Below are 27,627 nucleotides of genomic sequence, written 5' to 3' on the forward strand. Positions count from 1 at the left end.
TGGCCAGGCTGGTCTCGAACTCCTGACCTCAGGTGATCTGCCCACCTCGGCCTCCCAAAGTGTTGGGATTACAGGCGTGAGCCACCACACCCGGCCAGGGCATCAGTATTTTCTAAAACTCCCAGAGTCATTTCAATGTGCAGCCAACACTGACAATCACTGGTGCAGACTCTTGAACTCAAAGTGGGGTCCTGAGACCTGGAGCAGGGGGTTCCCTGCTGGGGAACTTGTTAGGAGTGCAGAATCCCAGCCCTCCCCACCAAGACCTGCTGAGTCAGGGCCTACTTTTCAACAAAACCTGCCAGGGGCTTTGGAGGCAATGGAGCCTTTGAGAAGCCTTAGCACAGAGCATCTCATTCTACCCTCGGAGCCCTGTGATGTGGATGTGGGTGTCTGTGATGAATGGATGAAGTTACAGGTTCAGGGAGGTGCCATAGGTGCTCCCGTGGTGGAGCCAGGAGGCAGTTCCGGTGTGGTCTGAGTCTGAAACTTACCATCCCCACAACACATGGCTTCACCTACTGCCCATGCCGCAGCGTTAGTGTCAGGCAGCCCCGTCTGGGCCTGTTCCCCAAGTGGACACTGGAATGTGACTTCTGTCTTTCCTTGTCTCAGAAAAAGTGTGCCACTATGAATGCACTTAACACCCTTCACTGGGCACCTCTGCTGAGCACAGGCTGACGTGGTTACACCTGCTTCTTCCTGGGCCTCCCTGTCCATGCCTCTCCCAGCTGGAATGTCCCTTGCCAGAAGTGTGGGTCCTAATTCAAGGGCCAGGTAAGCATCCCAGAAACAGAGGCCAGAGAGAAATGCTTCATTCTTCATTCCCATCTGATCAGATGCCTACTTCTGATCTGAGTTTCATCAGACCTGACATAAATATGCCTCTGGAAGCATACGTCGTTATTTCTCTGTTTCTTTGAAATTGCTCTCAAATCCCACCACTCCAATCCAATCAGTTGCCACTGAGCCAGCTGTGACATGGGATTTCACTTCTACCTCAATTTCTGTATCTCTGACTTAGTAGAAATAAGTAAAATCCACCTTCAACTGTCCTTTAAATTCAGGGACATCATTTAAAAATAATCTCTTCCAGCTGGGCGCGGTGGCTCACACCTGTAATCCCAGCACTTTGGGAGGCCGAGGTGGGCAGATAACGAGGTCAGGAAATGGAGACCATCCTGGCTAACACGGTGAAACCCCGTCTTTACTAAAAATACAAAAAATTAGCTCGGTGTAGTGGCACACACCTGTAGTCCCAACTACTCGGGAAGCTGAGGCAGGAGAATCACTTAAACCTCGGAGGCGGGGGTTGCAGTGAGCTGAGATCACGCCACTGCACTCCAGCCTGGGCAACAGAGCGAGACTCCGTCTCAAAAAAAAAAAAAAAAAAACCTCTTCCAATTCTTTTATGGACATACATACTGTATTAGTCTGTTTTCATACTGCTGTAAAGAAATAAAGAACTGCCTGGGACTGGGTAATTTATAAGAAAAGAGGTTTAATTGACTCACAGTTCCACATGGCTGGGGAGGCCCCAGGAAACTTACAATCATGGCAAAAGGCAAAGGGGAAGCAAGGCATGTCTTACTACATGGCGGCATGAGAGAGTGAGAGTGAGGGGGGAAGTGCCACATTAAAACCATCAGATCTTGTGAGAACTCACTATCATGAGAACAGCAAGGGGGAATCTGCCCCCATGATCCAGTCACCTCCCACCAGGCCCCTCCTCTGACATGTGGGAATTACAATTTGAGATGCGATTTGTGTGGGGACACAGGGAAACCATATCACATACTTAATGACATCAAGGACTCCTGACACCCTACTTTATCTTAAACTCTGACATCATCAGATCTACAAACAGGTAACACCATCATACCCCTCCACTCCCCATCACAAATAAAAGGGGCCTCCTCTCAGTCATGCTCTTCACGTCTGTGTGGCTGCCATCAACCCCTTCCTTGCCCCGGGCTCTTTTACACACGCACAAACATGCGTGAGCAGGCGTGTACACACACACATACACACATATCATTCCACCGGCTGTGTAGAAGATATCCACCTTTTGTGAATGAAACATATTTTCTATTTTCTTTGTTCACATATTTTAGTAACTTTTCTACATATTTCTTTCAATTAAAAGGATTTATGTATTCTTTTACATATGGAATTATCTTGACTTAATTTGGAGAAAAATTTCACATGGTTATGATTTAGAATTATTAGCCCAGTAGGCTGTAAAGCCAAGCTCAAGAAAATTCAAAAAAATGGTGTCATAAACACCATGTTCTCTGAATTTGGTTAATTTTTTTTTTCTAGATCTAACACAATTCTAAATAACTCCTAGATAAAATGGGAAACCATAATGTAAATTGAGCTGAAAAGTAATAAAAATATTACATATCAAAATTTGTGGGGAAAAGCAAAAGTGGTATCTTGAAGGAAAATTACAGGTAGCATAAAACTAAAGGAAAGAAATAATCAAATGAAAAGCAGAAATTGATGAAATCATGAAGATTATAGATCCAGGACAAAAGCTGATTCTCTGAAAGTAATAATAAAATAGATATTTTTGACAGTAGCTGTCATCAAAAAGAGAAATAGCACACATTTGAAAATACAGGATAACAGGTTATAGCACAGTTAAAACAAAGATTAAAAAGAGATCCTGTAAGAATGTCATCCTATTAAACTTTAAAACTGGCCAGCTGCAGTGGCTCACACCTGTAATCCCAGCACTTTGGGAGGCTGAAGCGGGAGAGCTGCTTAAGGCCAGGTGCTCAAGACCAGCGTGGGCAACATAGCAAGACTTTGTCTCTACAAAAAAAAAAAAAATTAAAACTTAGTCGGGTGTGGTGGCACATGCCTGTTGTCTTAGCTACTGGGAAGGCTGAGGTGGGAGGATCACTTGAGCCCAGGAATTCAAGGCTGCAGGATGAGCTAGGATGGTGCCACTGCACTCAGCCTGGATGACACAATGAAACCCTGTTTCCAAGAAACAAACAAACAAACAAACAAACAATTCTCACTTAAGAGTCTTGCTGGCAGGCTGGGCGCGGTGGCTCACACCTGTAATGCCAGCACTTTGGGAGGCCGAGGTGGGCGGATCATGAGGTCAAAAGATCAAGACCGTCCTGGCCAACATGGTGAAACCCCATCTCTACTGAAAATACAAAAATTAGCTGGGCGTGGTGGTGCACGCTTGGAATCCCAGCTACTCGGGAGGCTGAGGCAGGGGCAGAATTGCTTGAACCAGGGAGGCGGAGGTTGCAGTGAGCCGAGATCGCACCACTCCACTCGAGCCTGGCAACAGAGCGAGACTGTCTCAAAAAAAAAAAAAAAAGAGTCTTAATTCTATGCCATTGTTGGGCCTTACCTTTATGAATAAGTAAACAGGGCCTGGCAAACGGAACCAGTTTTCTGTCCTTTAGAGCTAGAGCTAAGGGTAAATATGACGGGCAGAGTCCCCTATTTAAGTTGGAGAGCTTTCTGTAGGTTCCCAGAGCATGGCTAACACCATCTCCAGAGACCTTCTGCTGCACATTCAAGCACTTCTAGGCCACTCTGCTTCCCTTCACAGGGACACCGACTTACCCTTGCTGATTTAAAAATAAAGGAAGGCCAGGGAATTACAGGGAGTGAAAAGAGTTGGTCTCAGAAGGTTATATGCTGTATGCTTCCATTGACGTCACAGTCTTGAAATAATGCCGTTGTGGAGATGGAGAACTGATCAGAGGCTGCTGGGGCCGAGCGTGGGGAGGGGAGAAGTGTTACCATAAAGGGGTAGCTGGAGGGGGCCTTTCAGTGCTGGAACCTTTTTGTGCCTTGATGGTGGTGGTTACAGGAAGCTACGTGGGGGTTAAAATTGTATAGATGGACGTATACACACACACACACACACACGATTGTGTGCATACAGGTGCAATCTGAATAAGCTGCATGGATTCCAGCAATGTCAAGTTCGTGGCATTGTTATTGTACAGTAATTGTGGAAGATGCTACCTTTGGGGAGGACAGGTGAAGGGTACAAGTTCTTGTGGGGCTGTAACTATTTCAAAATAAAAAGTTGAATGAGCGTGAAAAGCTGCACGCATGACCTTTTTCCTGTAGCCTTGTTTCCATGAATCGATTGAATTTTGGACATGAAAGCAGGGTCAGACCTAGTTATTAATAGGTGGGAAGAGGACTCACTGGAAATATTGGGCAACAGAACCTGGCTGCCTTCACTGTGGTTCATGGGCCAGCAGCGTTGGCATCGCCTGGGAGCTTCTACCAAATGCAGGATCTCAGGCCCCTGAGAATCTGCATTTCAAGGTCCTGAGATGATTTGCACATACATTTAAGTTTCAGGAGTTCTAGAACTTTTCTTAGAGTAGAAATCCAGTTTGTTGGTTGCATGATCCTGGACAAGTCCCATGATCTTTTGATCTTTAGTTTCCTTTAGATACCCATCTAGAAACTGGGAGGCTTACTATGAAGATAATAACACCTCCTAGAGGTTCTAGGCAGAACTAACGAGTAAGTTACAGAGAATGTGCTTGTGCTGTAATAGACACTCAGTAAACAGAGCTGTTGTTTCTATGGGCGAATGAATCTCCAGATGGTTTTCCAGTACTGCTAGTTCCATTTTAGCCAAGGGGAAAAGTGGAAGCAAATTGAATGTTTAACCAAAAGAAGAGTAGTTAAGAAAATAGCACATCCACATGGTGAGGCCTCTTTTGTAACTGTTAAAAGTGGCAGCCAGTGCCATGGGGAGAAGCCCAGAAGAGAGCAGAGGAGGGTGCTGGGGCTTCTGGTGCATCCTGTGGGCACCTCGGATGACGCGAGGGTGGAGCCTGAAACGCTGGCCCAGGAAATGGAACAGAAGCCTGTTGTGGGTGGGAGGAGAATCGGAAGCGGCATAAGGAGAGTTTTTCAAGAAGGGGGAGGAAGCTGGTGCCGGGGATGGTCACAAGCCTTTCCTCTTTCTTTTCCCTTCCCTTTCCCCTTTCCCTTTCCCTTCCCCTTCCCCTTTCCCTTCCCCTTCCCCTTCCCCTTTTCTTTTCTTCTTTGAGATGGAGTTTCACTCTTGTTGCCCAGTCTGGAGTGCAATGGCACAATCTCAGCTCACTGCAACCTTTGCCTCCCGGGCTCAAGCAGTTCTCCTGCCTCAGCCTCCCAAGTAGCTGGGATTACAGGCACCCACCACCATGCCTGGCTAATTTTGGTATTTTCAGTAGAGACAGGGTTTCACCATGTTGGTCAGGCATGTCTCGAACTCCTGACCTCAAGTGATCCACCAGCCTCAGCCTCCCGTAGATTACAGGCGTGAGCCACCGCGCCCGGCCGCCTTTCTCTTTTCTTCAGCACCAGTTACTGCAAAGACCCCTGGAGTCGGGGCCCATCCTGGGTCTTGCAGGGACTGATTCTGTCCGGTGTCGGGCTATGCACAGGCAGCTGTGGTGGATTCCTGGGTTCTCCCCACATCTGCTTCCCTTTAACATGTCAAGGCAGCCATCCAAAGGGCATGACCCTTTCCATGTGTAGCGGGAGGGTCAGTCTGTATCGCTTCCTTCTAGACCTTGCAGCTTTTGTATTTTAAAACTCGAGAGACAATAGTCATCTCCTAAAAATAGCAGCAGTGACATAGCTCCGCAGTCAGTTTTGCTGGCACTGGGAATTCAGCTTTTGTCTCTGGTGTTAGATAACGGGCAGGTTTCTAGGAAATGAATTCCATGTACAGTAGAGCCAGGTTCAGTTGACCTCACTGGAGACCTTGAACCCAGCTTGCTGCACCGTGGGGTCCTTTAATCATCTCCCTGCTGACCTCCATGCTTTGGAGGGTCCAGGTCTTAGGGGGACCTGTTTCCTTGGGAGTACAAAGGCCCTAGACACTTAAGAGTCGCGTTTCAGGAAGCTGGCACAGCCTGTGAGGGGCCTTCAGGAGTGGGGAAAGGGGCAGTGCCTTGTCACCTATATGTCCTCTGTTGAAGAGTGAACTGCACCAGGCCATCTCTGAGGCTCTTTCACACACTGTGATGGGTGGAAGGCCACTTTCAGCTGCAAGTACAGACCCTGTAGATGATCAGCTCATTCTAGTTTGCCTGGGACTTTCCGGTTTTTTGTTTTTAGCACTGAAAATCCTGTATCCTGGGAAACCCCTCTGTCCCCAGGAAACTGGGATGGTTAGTCAACCTGCCTATGTACAAGGCCACCCTTAGGTTGAGGCTGCACACAGAGTGCTGCCTAAGAGAAGCTGAAGGACCCACCAACAGCAGAATTTCTCCTTTAGCACTATCTGGCCCCTGACTTTGGAGGAAAGCAGCATGTTAAGTTACATTATCTGGAAGGAAGCACTGGACTAAACTTAGTCCCTTATACTGGATTCTTTTATCACACAAGAAAGCCATCACCCAGCCAAGGGCAGGACCCGCATGGGGACACAGGACAGATAGATCTTCTTGGGGGGATTTTGGGAGATAGGACAGCCCTTGATCAGAGAGGGCCCATGGGGTGGAGGGTGGGGCTGGATTGGAGTTGGGGAAATGTAGATTAAATACATTTCTTGAAAAAAATTCAGTTAAGATATGCTAGAGAAGCTACGGTCAATTTCTTTTTAATAGAAATAATCATTTTTAAATTTTATCAAGTGTAAACAAATCTGAACCGTTGGGTTTGTTTATGAGGCACAAGTATATTGAGTTAATTTTGAAAAACCCCAAACCTATCTCATTTTTTAGAGATAGTGACTTACAGTGACTCTACTAATAATTTTATTGGGTCTAAGAATACTTAAGATACTCTTGGCTGGGCGCAGTGGCTCATGCCTATAATCCCCCAGCGCTTGGAGGGGCTGAGGTGGGTGGATTGCCTGAGCCCAGGAGTTCAATACCAGCCTGGGCAACATGGCGAAACCCCATCTCTACAAAAAATACAAAAGTTTTCTGGTCATGGTGGCATGCACCTGTAATCCCAACCACACAGGAGGCTGAGGTTGGAGAATCATCTGAGCCCAGGAAGTCAAGGCTGCAGTGAGCCGTGATCGCGCCACTGCACTCTAGTCTGGGCAAGGGAAGTGATACTGTGTCTCAAAAAAAAAAAAAAAAAGATACTCTCTCCTTTTTTTTTTAATTCCCCAGTTTTAATCTGGTAGAGGGACCTTGAAAATACTTAAATACTCATATCATTCTTATGGATTGGTTTGGGTGTGTGAGTTCTAACATAGACAGGAAGGCTATTTTTCCTATCAATAACATCCAAGAAGCCTGCTAAGTAATGGTTTTTTTTTTTTTGGAAAAACCATTTGGAAAAGAATAGATTTTCCTGAACTTTATTAAAACACAAATCAGGTGCTGAAGGGATAATTTTGAAATTCTGTATTTTGAATGTCTTTCCACTTGCAGAAGAGGTATGTAGTTTTTAAAATTTCTGAATAGAACTACTTGTGCATGACTTTGAAAAAGTCACTTTCACTCAAAAAATACCAGGTTCTTTACCTGGAAAATTAATCAGTGCACATATAGATGATCTCTAGCTCTAAAAATTGATGGGATTCTATCTTATGATTTAAAAAATTAAATGAGTAGTATTAAATGATTAAAATAAGTAGTCACGGGATGACTAGGAACAGAATTTTTTTTTTTTAAAGAAACCTAGTGAGAAAGGTCAAAGTAATGGGAAATCCCCAAAAAGCATAGTAAAAGGAAGCAATTTGAAAGTGAAGAAAAAGGAACCTTTTAAATAACAGCTGTATTGATACAGAATTCACATACCATACAATTTAACCGTTTAATGTCTACCGTGGTTTTTATCATGTTCACAGATTTGTACAATTATCCCCACAGTTAATTTCAGAACATTTTCATCAATTCAGAAAGAACCACATACCTTTTAGCTTTTACCCTCTATTCCCCACCCCCTCCAGCCCTAAGCAACCATTAATCTACTCTGTCTGCCTGTTTACATGATTTATGGGAGGATTTTTATGAAAGAACCAGATCCCTGTAATTTTATGTCCCCCTATCTTGACATTTTCCTCAGTAAGAGAGTAGGACAATCACTCCACCACCAGGAGTGGCTGCCACATGCAAGACATATGTGGGTTCTACCTGCAAGGGTCTCACCATAAATTACCTGTCAATTACAGTGGAGGATGAGGGGCTGAGTCTTTTAAAGTATGCAGAGCCCTAAGTCTGACTCATTCTGTGTTGAGCGTTGGGCCACACTGTCTGCTCATTCATCTCTAGTTGGTTTGCTGACCTGTCGCTGCAGAGGTCCTCCGAGTGTGGTCCCCACCCAGCCTCACTTGGGACCTCACCCTAGACCCCTTGCTGGGGCAGCAGGGTCAGCACTCAGTATTGAGCAAACCCTCCAGCGGATTATGTTGCCTGCTCGAGTTTGAGCACCATGGATGTTTCTTGTCCCCCACCCCCAGCCCCACCCTGCCACCCTTCAGGTTTTCTCTACCCTGCTTTCTTTTCTGAAGAGAAGGTTGCAGTTGGTTTCTCTGGATCTTGTCTGTTCTCTCTCACTCTTTTCTTTCTTTTCTTGGTCCTGCCTCCGGTTTGGGGTGGGGGCAGCTCTGTGGAGAGTAGGCCAGTTGGCTTTGCCTTTGGTGGGGTGTCGGGGGTGAGGCTTGGGAGGGACTCGGGAGTGGAGAGATGTTGACAGAAATCTGCTTTTGCCAGTGGCTTTGGTCCGGACTTGCCCCTGGACCAGGTCTTTTCAGTGGCCTCCTCCCACTGCCTCTTCCATCCTTCCCTCTCTTCTGGTTCTTTCCCTCCTTTTCATGAACATATTTAGATCCCTCCTGTCATTAAAAACAAAACCAACCCAACACTCCAAACTCACTTGGCAGTGGGTTGGGCTCTGGCAGGTCCTCTAAGTCTTCTGCTTCCCAAGGCCAAAGGGCTGCCAGTCGGTGGGTCCCATGTCCTCGTCCTGCCTCCAGCCTTGGGGTGGGCTGGTTCTGCCCTTGCCAGCCCAGGGCTTCTGCCTTCTCAGGCTGCTTCTCTGCAGTGTGTATTGGCTTTATTGGTGGGTGTCATGAAAGCATCTGTGCCTGGGGCCTGGTCCCACCCCTTAAGTCCTGATTTCTTCCCCATCCCAGCCACTGAGACTTCTCATGACCTTGGCAGGGCTGCCTCCTCCTCCCCCAGTGTTTTGGGCACTATTGTCAGAATTGGAACATGATGACAAACCTGCTTTGGGGACTGGGATGCCAGGGCAGAGTCTCAGATTCCCTTGGCCCCCTGCCTTTCAGCCAGGTGTCCTAGGGGAGAGCAGCCTGTTTGAGGTGCACGGTGGCCTGGCCCTCTGGGCTCGCCAACACCGTGGCTCCTAGGAACTGCTCTGCGTCTGGGATCCTCTACCCTGGATCCGGGAGCCTCTTTTTGCTTTTTGCTTCTTTACACTGCTCATTTTTGGTCTCCCCTGGATGGTCTGGTTTCCCTTCCTTTGTTCCATGAGGCACTTTTCATAGGCTGGCCTCTTTACTCCCTGTCATGGTTAGTTTTATGAGTCAGCTGGGCTAGGCCACAGTACCCAGGTATTCAGTCAAACACTGGTCTAGGTGTTCCTGTGCAGGTATTTTGTAGCTGTGGTTAACATCTACAATTAGTTGACTTTAAGTCAAGGAGATTACCCTCTATAATTTGGGTGGACCTCATCCAATCAGTTGAACAAAAACTGAGGTTTCCTGGAGGAGAAGAAATTCTGCCTCAAAGCTGCAGCCTCAACTCCTGCCTGAGTTTCCAGCCTGCCTGCCTGCCCTGTAGATTTTGGACTTGCCAGCCCCCACAATCTCATGAGCCAGTTTCTTAAAATAAATCTCTTTATGTCTGTATCTCCTCTTGGTTCTGTCTCTCTGGAGAGCCCTGACTTATGCATTCCCATAGGAACATTGTCTGCTGGCAGAGCCTCCTCAGGCTCACGCAGCTGGTGCCAGCTCTCAGCCCTGGACCACTTTCCTAAGAGTCATGTGTGCATTCAGCCTCATGTGCAGAGTTCCTCTTGCCAGTCTTCCCCCAGCATCTCCTTCTTAACGTATTCCTTTTGCCTCCAGGGCCAGCTTCCTGGGTATACAGCCTGTCCAGTTCACAGGCCTGTGCTTAAAAGGGCCCTATGTCTGATGTAACACTCTGCTGTTACTGTTTTGAAATTCTTAATGGTTTTGAACCAGGGCCTGCATTTTCATTTTGTACTGGGGCTGCAAAGTACGGAGCTGGTCCTAGCTGTCCCTGCGTTTCTGGCTGCCCGTGTTTACAATCCTAGAGTCAGCCCAGCCTTCCTCATCTCCTGTATCCAGTCATTTCCCAAGCGGGGGGGATGTCCACCATGATGGTCTCCCACATTTCACTGGGGTCTCACTTAAGCAAGTGCTATAACCCCCCGCCCTGGAGTCTCTCACCAGTCTGTTCTGCTGCCACTTCTAGATTTATCTTCATGTATGTGGCTTTTTTATTTTCTTTTTAACAACAGCATTGTCTTTGGAAACTCTCCCTGCAGGGCTCCTCCCAACAGTTCTCCAGATGCTTCCCTCTGTGTCACAGAAGCCAGGTGACTTGCTGTCCCCCAGCTGTGCGCTGTGCTGCCTGCTCCCTGTTCCGCCATGGTGGATCCTTGTTCCCCATGGACCACACACCTGTCCCTCCTTTGACTGCAAGGCCACTCAGAGTTCCCCTCCCATGGACTTCCCGTGGGCTCCTTTGCCGCATGGCTTCCCCGACTTTGGACCCTCATCGCAGTTCGCAACTTGGTATAGATGCCTTTCATTCTGCGTTGTTTTATATTGATTGGTGGATATTTTCTCTTGAAGCTTGGTCAGCTCCATGAGGGAGATGCTCAACCTCATTCAGTTTCTGCCCTGTGCAGTCCGGCAGTTTGTCGCACATGGTTGGTGGATGATTGTCCCTGCTTTTTTTTTTTTTTTTCTTGTTTTTGAGATGGAATCTTGCTCTGTCGCCCAGGCTGGAGTGCAGTGGGGCAATCTCGGCTAACTGCAACCTCCACCTCCAGGGTTCAAGTAACTCTCCTGCCTCAGCCTCCCGAGTAGCTGGGACTACAGGTGTATGCTACCACGCCTGGGTAATTTTTTTGTATTGTTAGTAGAGACAGGTTTTCCCCATGTTGGCCAGGCTGGTCTTGAACTCCTGACCTCAGGTGATCCTCCCTCCCCGGGCCTCCCAAAGTGCTGGGATTACAGGCGCGAGCCACCGCGCCCGACCTGTCCCTGCTTTTTGAACATGATTCAAGTATCGTGCCCTGTTGCCAGTTACATATACTATTTTGAAAATTCTTAAAAATAGGATAGGTCTCAGCACTGTGGACATTTTGGTTCTAATAATCCTTTGCTGTGGGAACCCGTCCTGTGCATGGCAAGGTGCTGAGTAGCATCCCTGGCCCCTGCCCACTGGATGCCAGCACCAGTGCCTTCCCCTCTGTGACAATGAAAGTCTCCAGACATTGCCAGTTTCTCCTGTTGAAGTCACTGGAATAGGGATAGAGACTGAAGGGAGTAAGATTGTTGGAGTTGTGAACCTGAGTGCCTTCTTACCTGGAAGGATCTGTGGTATTTGGCACGCCTCGCTGCTCTCTCCTGCCTCTTCCTCACCAAGAGTTTTGTCAGGTGTTTTTTACAGTTAAAGAATTTATGTACTTTGGTAGGAAAATTGTGTTTACCAGCCCTTCCAACAGGCGGTCCTATTCTGTAAGATGGAAAATACCTATAATTAGAATTCCTGGCTCTGTAAATGCTTCTCTCTTTGTGATTTGGAGTGTTTGTTGTTGTTTGAATCTTAACATTTGACTGTATTTTTCTCTTGGAGTTGTAATAAGACAAGGGAGCTTTTAAAAGTGTAATCTGAGGAGATTAACCCCAGGAGGCATGAAATATCCCTCCGAAGATCACAGTCGGTCTTTCGAGGACATCCTGCCACGTTTACCCAGTGCCCGGCGTGAGCAGCCTAGAAGACGAGTGGTGGCAGCTGCCACCTGCCCGGTGAAAATGTAATTGACAGGAAATTAATGAGGGGCCAGAGATGACTGTTTTATGCCTAACAGAACCACATGACACGTGTTTTACCAAGAAATCATACATTTGGCTTTGATTTTCAAAGTGATTTTTATGAACTAATAACACTTCAAGCAGGCACTTTCTCTGTTGGAATTCTCCCTTTAAAAAGAACTGTCAGCTGGGGGCGGTGGCTTATGCGTGTAATCCCAGAACTTCGGGAGGCTGAAGTGGGCTGATCACTTGAGCTTGGGAGTTCAAGACCAGTCTGGGCAACATAGTAAGACCCTGTCTCTACAAAAAATGCAAAAATTAGCCAGATGTGGGGGTACATGCCTATAGTCCTAGCTACTTTGGAGGCTGAGGCAGGAGGATCACTTGAGCTGGAAAGTTGAAGCTGCAGTGAGCCATGATCATGCCACTGCATTCCAGCCTGGGAGACAGAGCAAGACCCTGTCTCAAAAAAATAATAAAAAAAAAAGAAATGTCACAAAACAATTTGCATTAAATAAGCCTCTTGATTCAGCATGAAGTTGCCTCTTTTTCAGTTTAATGTATTTATTTATTTAGCAAATATTTATTGGACAGGGGTACCTGTGCCAGGCGCTGTTCTAGGGGACAGAATGCCAGACAGAAATGGAGATTGCTGCTGAAGTGGAGCTTACGTGATTTTGGGGGTGAGAAACAATAACAAGCTCAAATACATGCACCTCTTCTCAGGAGGGAGCAAGTGCTCAGGAGATGGGATAAGGTAGGCAGGGAAAGGGTTTTGCAGCACTGGGCTGGTGCTGAAAATTTCCGTCCTCGTTGAGGAAGGAACCTTTGAGTAAAGACCTGGAAGGAAGTGAAAGTCTTGCTGTTTGGAGGTCTAGGAAAGAGCCTTCCAGGCTGGTGGAGCAGGTGGTAGAGCTGGAATGTTCTAGAAGAGCCAGAGGTCAGAGGGACTACAGCAGAGCACCATGGGGAGAGGGCAGGAGATGAGGTCAGAAGTGACCAGTGCTTTACTCACAAAGGGAAGGACAGACTTGGGTAAGGAGAGCTGGAGGGGAAGGAAGAAGACCCAACTCCAGTGGTAAGTGAGAGCTCTGCTGGCGTCGTGTTGAAGTTTGGTCCTCTTTGAAGTGGACACAGTCTTCCAGGGCAGATCTTCTTAGGCTCTGGTTGTGGTGAGCTCGTCTCTTACATTGTGCTTACTTAGATCAATGCCTTTTCAGTGTTTGTTTAAATCAACAAGTGTTTTCCTGGATGCCTACAGAGCTGGAACCTGAGGTCCCCTAAACATTGTCCTTGATGGACAAATCCATATTTGGGATGCTGATCTGTGGTCCTTAACTTAGACGTCTTAGGTCTGACTTCGAGTCTCCACAGTCATTTCCATTTGACAAAGGGAGTTTAAGCATGTGATTAGATGGGGTCTGTGGAGCATGTGGCTTTGCTTGTTCTAGGGAAAAGAAACGCACTGAGAAACACCTGGAATTAGAAAGCACTTCCTGGGTGTTTGTGGCTTCCTCTGTCAGCCCTGGAGATGTGGCTGCCCAAAGGCCTGTGTGGCTAACAGGTGTGCTGGAGATGTCTGGATTGTAGCCTTGCTGGGAGCCCTCATGAAAGACAATGCCCGGGCCCAGGTGTTTGATGGGTTACCATGCTGGGTGAGGGCGCTGTGCCAATGGCATAAAGCATGGGGTCATGGGGTCATGGCCTCATGGCCATGGGGTCATGCGTAAAGCAGAGCTGTGGGTCCAGGGTCTGACAGATGGGACTCACTGCAGGGCCCCTCCTCTCTGTCCTCACCTGAAGCAGTTGCATCCATCAGTCCTTCGCCCATCCCAGAGTTTTGGTGATGGCTTCCCTGTGCCAGGCTTTCCGCAGGAGACTGGAGGCCAAGACAAGTACAAGCCACGGGGCTCTATCATCAAGGACCCAACAGGCAGCAACATAGGCTGTGGTGAAGACCCTGAATTCTATGTTCTTGTGGGTCTTGGGAGTTTCTCTGTTGTCTCTGCTCCATGCTAATTGCATAGCATTTCTTTCTTCCATTATGTAACACCGAGAAATACAGTCATCCTTCAGGACACGTGAGGAATTTGTTCCAGGACTCCCCCACCTATACCCAAATCTGCATATACTCAAGTCCCACAATCCGCTTTGTGGAGCCCCTGTATACAGAGTCAGCCCTCTGTAGGTGGATTTCACTTCCCACGATTTGGTTGAAAAAAATCTACCTATAAGTGTACTCTGACAGTTCAAGAGTTGTTTAAGGTTCAACTGTAACACAGCCCTATATGAAGAAGAAAGAAAAGGCTGGTGTTGGTGCCACAGCCAGTGGCTCTCTACTTGATTGGAAGTTCTTGTTTAGACCTGATACACTGTGAGAATACGATGTGCGTTGGGTTCTTGTAACTGTGTGTGTGTGTGTGTGTGTGTGTGTGTGTGTGTGTGTGTGTGTGTGTATACTGCTTTCTTCTCTTTATTTTCCATACAGTTTATAAGAGGACATTCAGACCAACAAACAGTTCTCATCTTCAGTCTTTTAGTGCTGAATAAGTTTTGCTGTGTGGCATCTTAATGCGCAATTTAGGAAATTGCTCTTGGTATCTTGCAGTCACAGCCAGATTCAATTGGTGAGGGATCTTTCCAGTGCAAACATGGCCTTTTCCAATACATTTACATATTCTGGGACATTACTCATTTGTTTCCTGGCTTTTAACAGCACTGCAAATATGGGCCTTTTCTGAAACATTTACATAGACCAGGACATTATTATTCATGTGTTGCCTGGCTTTTAAATCAACAGCAGTATTTACTTAGCTAAGAAATTGGGAGACTCTTTAGCCTACTGAATTTAAAAAAGCAGTGAAGTGTTGGGGGTATGTGAAGTTTTCATTGTGGGAGAGTGTTTCCAATTTTAGTGATTTTATTTATTATTTATTTATTTATTTATTTATTTTGAGATGGAGTCTCGCTCTGTCGCCCAAGCTGGAATGCAGTTGTGCGATCTTGGCTCACTGCAACCTCTGTCTCCTGGGTTCAAGCAATTCTCCCACCTCAGCCTCCCAAGTAGCTGGGATTACAGACGCCCGCCACCATGCCCGGCTGATTTTTGTATTTTTAGTAGAGATGGGGTTTCACCATGTTGGCCAGGTTGATCTCGAACTCCTGACCTGAAGTGATCTGCCTGGCTAATTTTTGTATTTTTAGTAATGACGGGGTTTCACCATGTTGGCCAGACATGTCTTGAACTCCTGACCTCAAGTGATCCGCCTGCTTCAGCTTCCCAAAGTGCTGGGATTACAGATGTGAACCACCACACCCGGCCAGATTTTAGTGATGTTAAAGATCTTTCTGAGTAGAGTTACTTTATTTTCACTGTGAATGATCACATTCACAACATGATCCTTATTCTTTTACTCGGACAACATTGAATAGTAATATTTATTAGGTATTTTATTATTCTTCTGATACAATTTTTTTTTTTTTGGTGTGGAAAATGAAAAAAAAAAGAGAAGTACAAAGAAAAAAACAAAAACCAGTCACCTGTATTCCCAGTACCTGGAGCTAATGATAGTGAATTTTTCGGTGTTCTTTTCTGACTTGTGCTGTGAAATATATATGCTCTGCCAGATTAGCTATCTGTAAAGTTATCTATCTATAAATAAAGTTTTGAGTCCTGGTTTATTCACTTGTAGGGGTATTTCTATATTAGAAATACTTCAGAATCTTGATTTTAAAAATCCAACTTCTGCATATATCATAGTTTATTCAGTAATTTTGGGTCTTTTTTGTTTCTGAAATTTTTTGTGATATAAATAATGCTCTGATGTATGAATGTCTAAATACGTCTCTTATTGGCTCTCTGGGCAGTTCTGTTTAGATCAATTCCAAGAAGGTATATTATTGGTATGTTATTATTGTACCCAGTTTTCCTTCCACCAACAGGGTATGAAATTGCCTGTTTCACTATATCCTCATGACACTGAATGTTAATTATCAAAAATGTTGAAACGGCTTTGCTGATCTTCAAAATATTAAGTCATGCATACTTATTGTAAAATATTCAGATAACATAAAAAGGTAAAATGCCAAAGATGATAAAAAAGTGACTGCGAATTCATGATCTAGGCATACTTATGTATTTGAGGTATAACTTTAGCGACATTTAATATAATACGGTACTTATAATCTTTTTTCCTTAGCACCTTCATGAGGGCACCTTTCTTTGCCAGCAAATACATGTCGTTTTTAATGACCACAATGTACTCTTTCTGGATATGTTCGTTTCTTTAACCTGTGGCTTCCTAGTGGACATTGAGGTTATTTCTGGTTTGCAGATTAGTAACAACACAGAGATTTGCACATCTTTGTACAGAAACCTACTGACTCTCTTAGGAAATTGTTAGATTTTGTTTCGATCTGTGGAGTAAGTTCTCTTATTTTTGAAAGTAAATGTGCCTTTCCCTAAGGTAGGATTAGACTTTCCTCCCCATAACATCACACTTGGCCATGTCACTTGCTCTGGCCAATTCAGTGAGAAGTGACTTGTGTAACTTTTGGCCAGAAGTTTTAAAATCCAGCGTATGATTTGCCATATCCTTTTTCCCCTCTTCCGGGCAACCCACAATTTTCCAGGTAGAGTTTTCTCCATCAGCCTGAGTCTTGCAAGGGAAAACAATGTGGAAAAAAGCTGCATGCCAACCATGTGGCATGAGCAGGAAGCAGACGTTTGTCGTATGCCATTGGGATGTGGAGATTGCTTGTTCTGCTGCACAGTCTAACTCAGCCTGAGTGCATATTAGCTAGTGGCTCCCTAGAGAGAGTGAACTTGCTTATTGTCATCACTTATGCATATGAATACTGCCTCAGCGTCCATCTGCTTGTCCTGTTCCCAGCTTGTCATGCTTGACTAACATATTTTGAGGCAGTCTTCACGCAGCTCCTGTTTTCATGTTCTGGGTAGATAAGACCCCATACCCTGAGCTGCTTGACCACATTACTTCTGCTTTAAGCCTCGGGAACCTGATAAGGTAACCCCCGAGTTCCTGTGCTGAGTCTCGTGCTTCCTTCAAATGAACTAATCCAACCGTGCTGTGGGAAACCCACCTAGGTAACCCCATAAAGGATCCAACCCACAGGCCCCTCCGTTTCTCGTTCCCCACCTGCTGGTCGAAGGAGCAGGTCCTGGATGGCTCCTCCCCTCTTCTCTTTGGTCTTGCCAGGGGTGCTGTCCTCTTCCTTCCAGACCTGTGAGTAGTAAACTTGATTCATTTTGCAGTCTGAGTGTCCCTCACTGTGCTGCACCTGACTACACCAAGCCTCACCATCTCACTTAACATTACAACACTGAAGCTTTCTAGCAAGGTAAGGGAGTACATTTCCTTCTACACTTTGCCAACACCAATTAATTTGACTCTGTTTACTCTTTTCCAACTTGTCAAAAAATGACACCTCACTTTTATTTGTGCATTTTTGTTGATTAGTGAGGCTGAGACATATTTCATATCACATGTTTACTAGCCCTTTGTATTTCTTTCTTTGAACTAATTTACCAATTCCTTTGTCAATTTTTTGATTAGTCTGTCTTATCTTCTTGAGGTCTAAGGATTTTTTTACATATGCTAAAGTTATTATATTCTGCCTTCTTTTTCTAATTTGTCATTTAAAAAATCTTGTTTGGGGTTTATAGAGTTTCCTGAATATGCGGCTTGATATCTCTTGTCAGTTTTGGAAAATTCTCTGCCATTATCTTGTCAAATATTGTTTTTGTTCCAATCCCTTTTTCTTCCTATCCTGTGACACCAAATTCACACACATTAGACCTTTTATACCATGCTGCCTGTGTATGTTATGCTTTTCTTCCTATCTTTTAAATCTTTTTTTTTTTTAATTTTCTGGGCATTTTTGATTAAACTTATCTTTTGATTCACTAATCATATCTTTACCCTAATCTACTATTTAATTGCTTTTTACATTCTTAATTTCAATTATGCTGTATTTCTAAAATTTTTGATTCTTTATTGATTCTAGTTCTGTAATAAAGTTCCTCATTTGTCATTATTTGCTTTTACATATTAGTTATTTTAAAGCTTGATCGTTCTAATTTCTGGATCTTCTGGGGATGTTTTCTATTTTCTGTTTTTCTCTTGGCCCTGTCTCCTGATACATCTGGTAATTTTTGGAATGCTAGACATTGTGTATGAAAATTGAAGTAGCACTAGATTGTGTTATCTTGTCCAGGGAGGATTTAGTTTGCTTCTGGCAGACAGAGTGGGACAGAAGATTGCAGTCTAGGTTGTAGTTTTTATAAGATCTGGCCTCTTTCTGGCCTGTCTTGTAGGATATAGCCCTTTTGGCTTCCTATAGAAATATGGCCTGGGCAGATCATGAATACCACTTTTGTCTCCTTAACCCAAGCTTATCCAACCCCTGGCCTGCGGGCCACATGAGGCCCAGGATGACTTTGAATGCAGCCCAACACAAATTTGTAGACTTTCTTAAAATATTTTGAGATGCGCGCGCGCGCGCGCGCGTGTGTGTGTGTGTGTGTGTTTTCAGCCAGTGTTAGTGTTAGTATATTTTATGTGTGGCCCAAGACAATTCTTCTTCCATTGAGGTCCAGGGAAGCCAAAAGATTGGATACCCCTCCCTGCAAACCCTCGAGAGTATGACCAACTCTGCTTAGCTCCTCCTACCCTTCACTACTGCTCTCTGCTTGGTTTCTCAGCACCCAGCCTTACTCAGCAAATGCCCTTAGGGAAAGCCATGAGAATGGAAGCTTATCTCAGGATTTCCGCCTTCTTTCTGGAATACAATCAGGCCTGCAAGTCCTGGTCGTCTTGGAAACTGGATGCCTCCAAATGGATATTTAGGGAAAAAAAGTATTCAGTTGTTCTCAGGGGAAAAGTGCCTCTGATTGAAGCCAGTTTCTCAGAGCTGAAAGTGAGAGTCCCTGTCATTTGCCTTTTTACTTTCTTTACACTGTTTTGCTGAGAAGGTTTAAATTTTTATACAGTCAGATGTATCTATTTCTTTATGGTTTCCGGCCTTGCTCTATTGCTTCAAAATGCTGTTTCTAAGCCAGGTTTATAGAAATAGTCATCTACATTTTTTTTAGTGGTTTTTTTTTTTTTTTGAGATGGAGTCTCATTCGGTTGCCCAGGCTGGAGTGCAGTGGCACCATGTGGGCTCCCTGCAACCTCCCCCTCCCAGTTTCAAGCAATTCTCCTGCCTCAGCCTCCTGAGTAGCTGGGACAACAGGTGCGTGCCACCATGCCTGGCTAATTTTTTTTGTACTTTTGGTAGAGACAGGATTTCACCATATTGGCCAGGCTAGTCTCGAACGCCTGACCTCTTGATCTGCCACCCTTGGCCTCCCAGAGTGCTGTCCCGCACCGAGCCTTTTTAGTGTTTTTATGATTGAATATTTAATGATTCATTTCAGCCTGAGATGTGAGATAAAGATCCAACCTTATTTTTTTTCCGTATGACTGGGACTTTTGTCCAGAACTATTAATGAATTCATCTTTTGTGAAGATCTGAAATGTAATATTTATTGTTAAGCATATGGTGTCTCATTAATATTTTAATTTACATTATTTTGCTTACTAGTAAGATTATGTATATTTTACATGTATTTACTGGCTTTTTGCTATTTTTTGGTTTTTCTACTCATTCCTTTACCCTTGAAAAATTGTACTCTTGGTGTATTTATGCTGATATTCAATATAATATTTCTGTTTAAATCATTCTGTGAATGTCACTAATCTTGATTGCTTTTTCATTTTTCTTTCAATTTTACTTATAATTTTGATATAAGGGAATATTGTATTTATATAGTAACTTACATTGTATATTTATTGTTATCTTATTATTTTTAGCTTTTGAATCTCTTTTCTCCATCAGTAAACTATTTTAGGATATAAGTATGTATGTATGTATGTATATATATTATACCCTTGACTTTTTAGTCCTTTTGTATTATCTTTTGATTTTATGGTGTGTGTGTGTGTGTGTGTGTGTGTTTACTGCTCAGTAATCAACTTTTCCAGCAATGTTGGTTGAGTCATCCATCACTGCCCAGATTGCTCCTTTAACACATGTTCCCCTTTAAAGACAGGGTCTTATTTTGGGCCATCTGCTTTATTTTCTTCTCACCAATTTGTGGGAAAACTTTATTCTTGTTAGTATTCTACTTTCCTTGTCTCTTATTTTTGTTAAACAGAGCATATATGTGATAGAAAATAGAATCCTGGCTGGGCGCGGTGGCGCCCATGCCTGTAATCCCAGCACTTTGGGAGGCCAGGGCGGGCGGATCACCTGAGGTCAGGAGTTTAAGACTAGCCTGGCCAACATGGTGAAACCCCATCTCTACTAAAAAAAAAAAAAAAAAAAAAAAAAAATTAGGTGGACGTGGTGGCGGCTGTAATCCCAGCTACTTGGAAGGCTGAGCATGAGAATCGCTTGAACCCGGGAGGTGGAGGTTGCAATGAGCTGAGCTGAGATTGCACCACTGCACTCCAGCCTGGGCAACAGAGTGAGACTCTGTCAAAAAAAAAAAAAGAAGAAGAAAAAGAAAAGAAAATAGAATCCTGCAGATGAGCTTGCAGTGAGAGACCCCAGGCTTCTTGGCCACCTGTCTGCTCCTCAGAGCTGTCTCTTGCCACTGTTCCCACTTTCATTTCATCTGGCAGTCCCCTCCCTGCCAGTTGCAACCTGCTCATCATAGCTACTCTTGGTTTGTCCATTTGAGGCAGTGGAGATGATTGTGTGCAATGGTAGTGGAGTTTTTTGCTGACTTGCCCTTTTCACCCCTCTGATCAGACCCATCCACCCATCCTTTTTCATATGTATTCTTTTAGTTTCTTATATATGTTATTTCAACCCCAGTTCCTTCTCCATCAATTCTAGCTGGTATTTCCTGACTTCTCCTCTGTTAGGTAAGGACCTTCCTAACCTTTTCCCACCACCCCGTATCCACCCCTCATATTGTCTTCGCTAGCTTTCCACTTACGAGACTAGTAACATTTTCTTGGATCTTAATTATGCTTATTATTTCAACTTTATCTATAGTTTGATTCTAAAAGTAGAAAACAACTAACCCTTATATTATAACACTACAGCTATTATTAGTTGAGTCAACTGGCATAATAGGACTCTCTTTTTTTCTGTGCAGTAACATATTTTAAATTATTATCGCAGATAATATATTTTGCTCTGTTTACTTTTTTTTAAAGCATTAGCTATTAACTCTTTTAAGAAAAAACAAAATAAAGCAAAAACCTGTACCATCAATGAATGTACGACCCCATCTGCAATGACAGAATACTTTCCTCCCCTTTAGACACTGGATATTTGAGTGGGGAGCTTCTCAAAGGGGTCATCTACACATTTGTTGTATGACATTTACTTTTTAGTGCCTTAACTTGCCTTGTACTGTACCTCACCTCTGTCTCAGTCGACACCCTACCCTGCTCATCCCAACCCCACCCTGGGTCAACCTCCTGTTCACCATGACTCCAGCCCAACTCCTCCAACCCTAGCTCACCTCCAGAGCTCTGAGTCTTCACCTCTCCAGCCTCTCTCCAACCTCTTCTCCTCCCGGGCAGGGGGGCTAACATCAGACCCCGACTCAATGACCCACTCACTCCCCAACCCCTCACCCTGGCTCAACTTCCCTGACCCTGGCTCACCTGGATCCCCATTCCAGCACAACCCCCACCCCTCTCAACTCACTTACCCTCACCCCCTCATGAACCCTCTGCCATTTAAGGATAGTTCATCTCCTTTTCTGCTGCAAGACTACTCTTGGCTGTTGAGCTACAGTTTTTTCAGACCCAAGGCCTGTGCTGTCTCTGAGCCGAATTCTGGTCCCGTGGCAAGGCAGAACCTGTCCCAGAGTCTCTGCAGTGAGCAAAGCCTAGAGACTCAACAGCGAGGAGTAACCACATGTGGGAGCTGTCAGCTCACGGGGATTTTCTCTCCTCTCCAAGGGCAGGAATTCTCTTCATTGTCACAGACCTATTCCTTATTTAAAGCTTTTTTTCACTCTTATTCAGGGAGGGATGTTTAAAGAGATCATGTATTTATTGATTGATTGATCTCCAATACTGCAGAAAATATGCATTTTAAAAACACACATCCTTCTTTTTTTTTTTTTTTTTTTTTTTGAGACAGGGTTTCTTGCTCTTGTTGCCCAGGCTGGAGTGCAATGCCCACCACAACCTCCGCTTGCCGGGTTCAAGCGATTCTCCTGCCTCAGGCTCCTGAGGAGCTGGGATTACAGGCATGCGCCACCACGCCCGGCTAATTTTTGTATTTTTAGTAGAGACAGGGTTTCTCCATGTTGGTGAGACTGGTTTTGAACTCCCAACCTCAGCTGATCTGCCCTCCTCGGCCTCCCAAAGTGCTGGGATTACAGGTGTGAACCACCACGCCCAGCCAAAAACACATTCTTCTTTCTACTTGTTATTCCCTTCGTGCATGCACTCATCCCCATGCATGCCGAGGGCACATGTTCTGGAAGGCCCCTGGGAGCCACATGGGGTTCACGACCTCAAAACTGAAGCCCTCAGAGGGTATTTGATTCATTAGGTGGGGTAAGACATGAACCTAAGAAGAACGACTCCTTGAAAGAAAATGAGGTAACAGGAAAGGAATTCACTGATACATGTCAGGAACCCAGAGCTGCCTGCGATGTGGGTGGGATTCGGCACTGGGAAACCTTGTGTGTGGGTCCTTCGGGGAAAGTGGGAGTTGACTGCCGTTGAGCGGGTAGGAAAGTGCCTTCCAGGTACAGGCAGCAGGAGTGGTGATTGTCTTGGTAGAGGATGGGTGAACTGCAAATAGAGTTGAAGGAGCTGGGCTGAGTAGTTGGGATTTCACTCCCCGGGTGATTGGTGGGACCCAGCAGGGCCAGTCCTGGGCTTTTCCTATGGCAAGTAACTCAAGAGCTGCAGGAGCAGATGTTGTTAAGCAGAGAGGAAACACCAAACATGGATCCCTATCTCTAGCGAGTGTGCCCTGTGACTGTGGAGGGTGGAGGGGAGTCACGCCAGAGGGAGGTGCTGTGTTGGGGCCAGACCGGAGGGTTACATCCTGAGCAGGAGAGGAGGGAGGAGGCCAGGTGGAGGAGCGGCCTGGGGGACATAGGTGGTTGTGGTGCTAGATTGGCAGTGGATTTTTTTCTGAAGGCTGCCGTAACAAATGACCACAAAGTAGGTGGCTTAAACATCAGAAATTGATTCTCTCACAATTCTGGGGGGCAGATGTCTGAAGTCCAGGTGACAGCAGGGCCACGCTCCCTCTGGCAGAGCTGGGAATTCTGCGGTCTGTGACAGCATCGCTCCAATCTCTCTCTGTCCTCATCTGTCCTCTGCACATCTGTGTCTCAAATCTCCAGGATGATCTCATCTTAGGATCCTTAATTATGATCTATAAAGATGCTATTTCCCAACAGAGTCTCATTCACAGCGACCGGGGTTAGGATGTGGACATGTCTTTTCTGGGCGATACATTTCAACCTACTACAGGCAGTTACCTGAAGGAGTAACTGAAGGAGAGGGGTTCAGAATCCTCCAGTGGGGCCTGATGGGCAGAGGAGAGACTTGGACACCCTTAAGAGACGAAATGAATCTTCAGAGGTTCAGCCATTGCTTGCAATGTCATCTTCTGGGCTCATCCCTGCACTCCAACCCTGGACATTTTCTCTGGTCTTTTCTAGTGGCCACCATCTGGATGATTACGACTCTGGAAATCTCTGTCCATCATCCATTTTTTTGCCTCCTCTGTGAACGAGCAGGTGTGATGGCCTGAAAACAGAGAGGGAGAAGGCTGAGTGTACCAGGGCAGGGGAAGCGCTTCCTGGAATTACGTGTCCCAGGACAAAAGTGAAACTGCCTTCGCTGACTCATAGGAAAGTTTGAAAATATCATGTTTCGCCTATGCCTGGGGGATCTTTGTTTTTGGCATAAGCCGAACAGATTGTTCCAGGCCAGAAAAAAACTAAGCCAAACCAAAACAACAGAATGACTTAATTATGTACCAGCACCCTTTAAAATTAATTATGCTTGCTTTCTTTTTGTCCCCCTCAACTTTTAGTTTAAGTTCTGAGGCACATGTGCAGGATGTGCAGGTTTGTTACACAGGCAGTGTGCCATGCCCATTGTGGTTTGCTGCACAGATCAACCCATCAGCTAGGTATTAAGTGCAGAATTCTTTAGCTATTCTTCCTGATGCTCTCCTGCCTCACACCCCCTGATAAGCCCCTGTGTGCATTGATCCCCAACTGTGTGTCCATGTGTTCTCATCGTTCAGCTCCCACTTATAAGTGAGAACATGCAGTGTTTGTTTTTCTGTTTCTGCATTAGTTTGCCAAGGATAATGCCTTCCAGCACCATCCATGTTCCTGCAAAGGACATGGTCTTGTTCCTTTTTATGGCTGCATAGTATTCCATGGTATATAAGATTATGTAAAGAGATCGAACCTACAACTGATTGGCGTACCTGAAAGACATGGGGAGAATGGAACCAATTTGGAAAACATAATTCAGGATATCATTTGTGAGAACTTCCCCAACCTAGTAAGACAGGCCAACATTTAAATTCAGGAAATGCAGAGAAACCCAGTAAGATGCTCCATGAGACCATCAACCCCAAGACACATCATCATCAGATTCTCCAAGGTTGAAATGAAAGAAAAAATGTTAAGGGCAGCCAGAGAGAAAGGCCAGGTTACCCACAAAGAGAATCCCGTCAGACTAACAGTGGACCTCTCAGCAGAAACCCCACAAGCCAGAAGAGATTGGGGGACAATATTCAACATTCTTAAAGAAAAAAAAATTCCAACTCAGTTTCATATCCAGCCAATCTAAGTATTCATAAGTGAAGGAGAAATAAGATCCTTTTCAGAAAAGCAAATGCTGAGGGAATTTGTCACCATCAGGCCTGGCTTGCAAGAGCTCCTGAAGGTAGCACTAAATATGGAAAGGAAAAAAACACTCCCAGCCACAACACACTGAAGTACACAGACAAGTGACACTATGAGGCAACAACATAAACAACTCTGCAAATAACCAGCTAGCATCGTGATGACAGGATCAGACTCACACATAGCAATATTATCCTTAAATGTAAATTGGCTGAATGTCCCAATTAAAAGACACAGAATAGCAAGCTGGGTAAAGAGTTAAGACCCATCAGTGTGCTTTCTTCAAGAGACTCATCTCACATGCAAAGACACATGTAGGCTGAAAATGAAGGGATGGAGGAAAATTTACCAAGCAAGGGGAAAACAGGAAAAAGCAGGGAGTGCAATTCTAGTTTCTGACAAAACAGGCTTTAAACCAACAAAGATAAAAAAAGACAAAGAAGGGCATTACATAATGGTAAAGGAGTCGATTCAACAAGAAGAGCTAACTATCCTAAATATATATGCACCCAATACAGGGGCACCCAGATTCATGAGGCAAATTTGTAGAGACCTACAAAGAGACTTAGACTCCCACACAATAATAATGGGAGACTTTAACACCCCACTGACAATATTAGATCATCAAGACAGAAAATTAACAAATATTCAGGACCTGAACTCAGCTCTGGATCAAGCAGACCTCATAGATATCTCCAGGACTCTCCACCCTAAAACAACAGAATATACATTCCTCTCATCACTACATGGCACTTACTCTAAAGTTGCTCACATAATCAGAAGTAAAACACTCCTCAGCAAATGCAGAAGAACTGAAATCATAACAAACAGTCTCTCAGACCACAGCACAAACTAATTATGCTTTCTAATGTGAACCTCTAATTCTTGGTTATATCTTGTACATACATGTGTTTTTTTCTTTTAGTTTTGGATTTCTGGACCTTGACATGTTTACCAGGAGTACTAGATTTTCTTGCTATGTTCCTTTTCTTGGCATATGACTTTGATCCTTCTGAGGGGTTGGAGTCAGAAGCCAATTACCACTACTTTTTCCTGCCTCCTCCCACATCCAGATGTCTGTTCTCCAGCCTCCATCTCTTCTAAGTTTGCCTTCTCCTCTCAGTACCTGGATGTGACCACCCCATTCAGTGGCGTCATCTCTACCTAGTGACTCCTAGGAGACTTTTGAGTATTTTCTGACTTCTAGCCTGCCCCTTCTAGCACTCTCAATGCCTTGTTGCGTTTTAACCATATTTTATATTTTGTTTTTTGTTTTTTTTTGAGATGGAGTCTTGCTCTGTTGCCCAGGCTGCAGTGCAATGGCACAATCTCGGCTCATGGCAACCTCTGCCTCCTGGGTTCAAGCGATTCTCCTGCCTCAGTCTCCCAGGTAGCTGGGATTACAGGCATGCACCACCATGCCTGGCTAATTTTTGTATTTTTTGTAGAGATGGAGTTTCACCATGTTAGCCAGCCTGGTCTCGAACACCTGACCTCAGATCATCCATCCGCCTCGGCCTCCCAAAGTGCTGGGATTATAGGCGTGAGTCACTGTGTCTGGCCATGATTTTTGTTTTGTTTTGTTTTGCTTTTAATTAAAAAAATTTTTTTTAATGTTTAGAGACAGAGTCTTACTATGTTGCACAGACTGGTCTTGGAACTCCTGGGCTCTAGCAATCCTCCCATCTCAGCCTCCCAAAGTTCTGGGATTGCAGGCATTAGCTACTACACCTGGCCAATCATATTTTATGTTAATAATACTTGGTTAGCCAGGCATGGTGGCTCATGTCCGTAATCCCAACACTTTGGGAGGCTGAGGCAGGTGAATCACTTGAGCCCAGAAGTTTGAGACCAGCCTGAGCAACACAGAGAAATCCTGTCTTAAAGAAAAAATAAAAAAATACTCTGTTGAGGTATAATTGACATATGATAAAGTACAGAAATTCTAAGTGAACAGCCGTATGATTTTGACAAATATATACACCTGTGCAGTCATCCCCCTACTCAAGATATAGAGCATTTCCATCACCATAGTAAGTTTCCTCTTGCTCCTTTCTACTCAGTCCCTGTCTCATCAGAGGCAAAGACCTGTTGTTCAGATTTCTGTCACCATGGATTAGTTTAGCCAGTATTGAAAATTCAGTGGAATCACACAGTGTGCGCTCTGGTGCCTGGATTCTTTCACTCAACATAATGGTTTTGAGATTTAGCCATGTTGTGTGTACCACTAGGTTGCTTTTTTTTTTCTTTCCATAGTTAACAACTTTATTGACAATTCATCCATTAAAGTATACAACTTGATAGTTTGGGGCATATTCCATTATTAATTTTTAAAATTGTGGTGAAATATATATAACATAAAATTGTTCATTTTAACCATTGTAACCAGTGTACAGTTCAGTGGCATTTGCAATGTTGTGCAAACATTATCACTATTTCCAAAATGTTTTTATCATCCCTCTCCCCCCAGTCCCTCTTCCTCCTCCTACCCTCTTCCCCTCAGCCCCTGATAACCTCTAACCTATTTTCTGCCTTTATGAATTTGCCTATCCTACATATTTGCATAAATAGAATCATACAATATTTGTCTTTTTGTATATGGGTAATATCACTTAGCATGATATGCTCAGTGTTCATCTATATTATAAAATGTATCAGAATTTCCTTTTTTTAAAGGTTGAATAATATTCCATCATATGTATATACCACATTTTGC

At 44.6% G+C, this 27,627-nt stretch overlaps 1 protein-coding gene across 1 annotated transcript in view, besides 7 other annotated features; it reads left to right on the forward strand.

Annotated features, from left to right (window-relative positions):
- ANKRD33B (ankyrin repeat domain 33B) overlaps nucleotides 1-27,627 on the forward strand; it is a 93,747-nt gene that overhangs the window by 8,023 nt on the left and 58,097 nt on the right. The window lies entirely within an intron of this gene.
- Nucleotides 5,343-5,442: an enhancer, noted in NCBI's record as "active region_22362". NCBI's record gives its function as "activates an Ori minimal core promoter by ATAC-STARR-seq in GM12878 lymphoblastoid cells {active_cell/tissue: GM12878}" and the evidence as "EXISTENCE:reporter gene assay evidence [ECO:0000049][PMID:35858748]".
- Nucleotides 6,761-6,930: an enhancer, noted in NCBI's record as "active region_22363". NCBI's record gives its function as "activates an Ori minimal core promoter by ATAC-STARR-seq in GM12878 lymphoblastoid cells {active_cell/tissue: GM12878}" and the evidence as "EXISTENCE:reporter gene assay evidence [ECO:0000049][PMID:35858748]".
- Nucleotides 8,268-8,317: an enhancer, noted in NCBI's record as "active region_22364". NCBI's record gives its function as "activates an Ori minimal core promoter by ATAC-STARR-seq in GM12878 lymphoblastoid cells {active_cell/tissue: GM12878}" and the evidence as "EXISTENCE:reporter gene assay evidence [ECO:0000049][PMID:35858748]".
- Nucleotides 16,805-17,099: a silencer, noted in NCBI's record as "tiled region #12583; HepG2 Repressive non-DNase unmatched - State 22:ReprW". NCBI's record gives its function as "weakly represses a minimal TATA promoter and a strong SV40 promoter by Sharpr-MPRA in HepG2 cells {active_cell/tissue: HepG2}" and the evidence as "EXISTENCE:reporter gene assay evidence [ECO:0000049][PMID:27701403]".
- Nucleotides 16,805-17,099: an enhancer, noted in NCBI's record as "tiled region #12583; K562 Activating DNase matched - State 5:Enh". NCBI's record gives its function as "activates a minimal TATA promoter and a strong SV40 promoter by Sharpr-MPRA in K562 cells {active_cell/tissue: K562}" and the evidence as "EXISTENCE:reporter gene assay evidence [ECO:0000049][PMID:27701403]".
- Nucleotides 23,120-24,319: an enhancer, noted in NCBI's record as "CDK7 strongly-dependent group 2 enhancer chr5:10595324-10596523 (GRCh37/hg19 assembly coordinates)". NCBI's record gives its function as "activates an origin of replication core promoter dependent on BRD2, BRD4, P300/CBP, MED14 and CDK7 cofactors, with strong dependence on CDK7, by STARR-seq in HCT116 cells {active_cell/tissue: HCT116}" and the evidence as "EXISTENCE:reporter gene assay evidence [ECO:0000049][PMID:35650434]".
- Nucleotides 23,547-23,606: an enhancer, noted in NCBI's record as "active region_22365". NCBI's record gives its function as "activates an Ori minimal core promoter by ATAC-STARR-seq in GM12878 lymphoblastoid cells {active_cell/tissue: GM12878}" and the evidence as "EXISTENCE:reporter gene assay evidence [ECO:0000049][PMID:35858748]".

Source organism: Homo sapiens, chromosome 5 (assembly GCF_000001405.40).
Source record: "Homo sapiens chromosome 5, GRCh38.p14 Primary Assembly".
Lineage (NCBI taxonomy): Eukaryota > Metazoa > Chordata > Mammalia > Primates > Hominidae > Homo > Homo sapiens.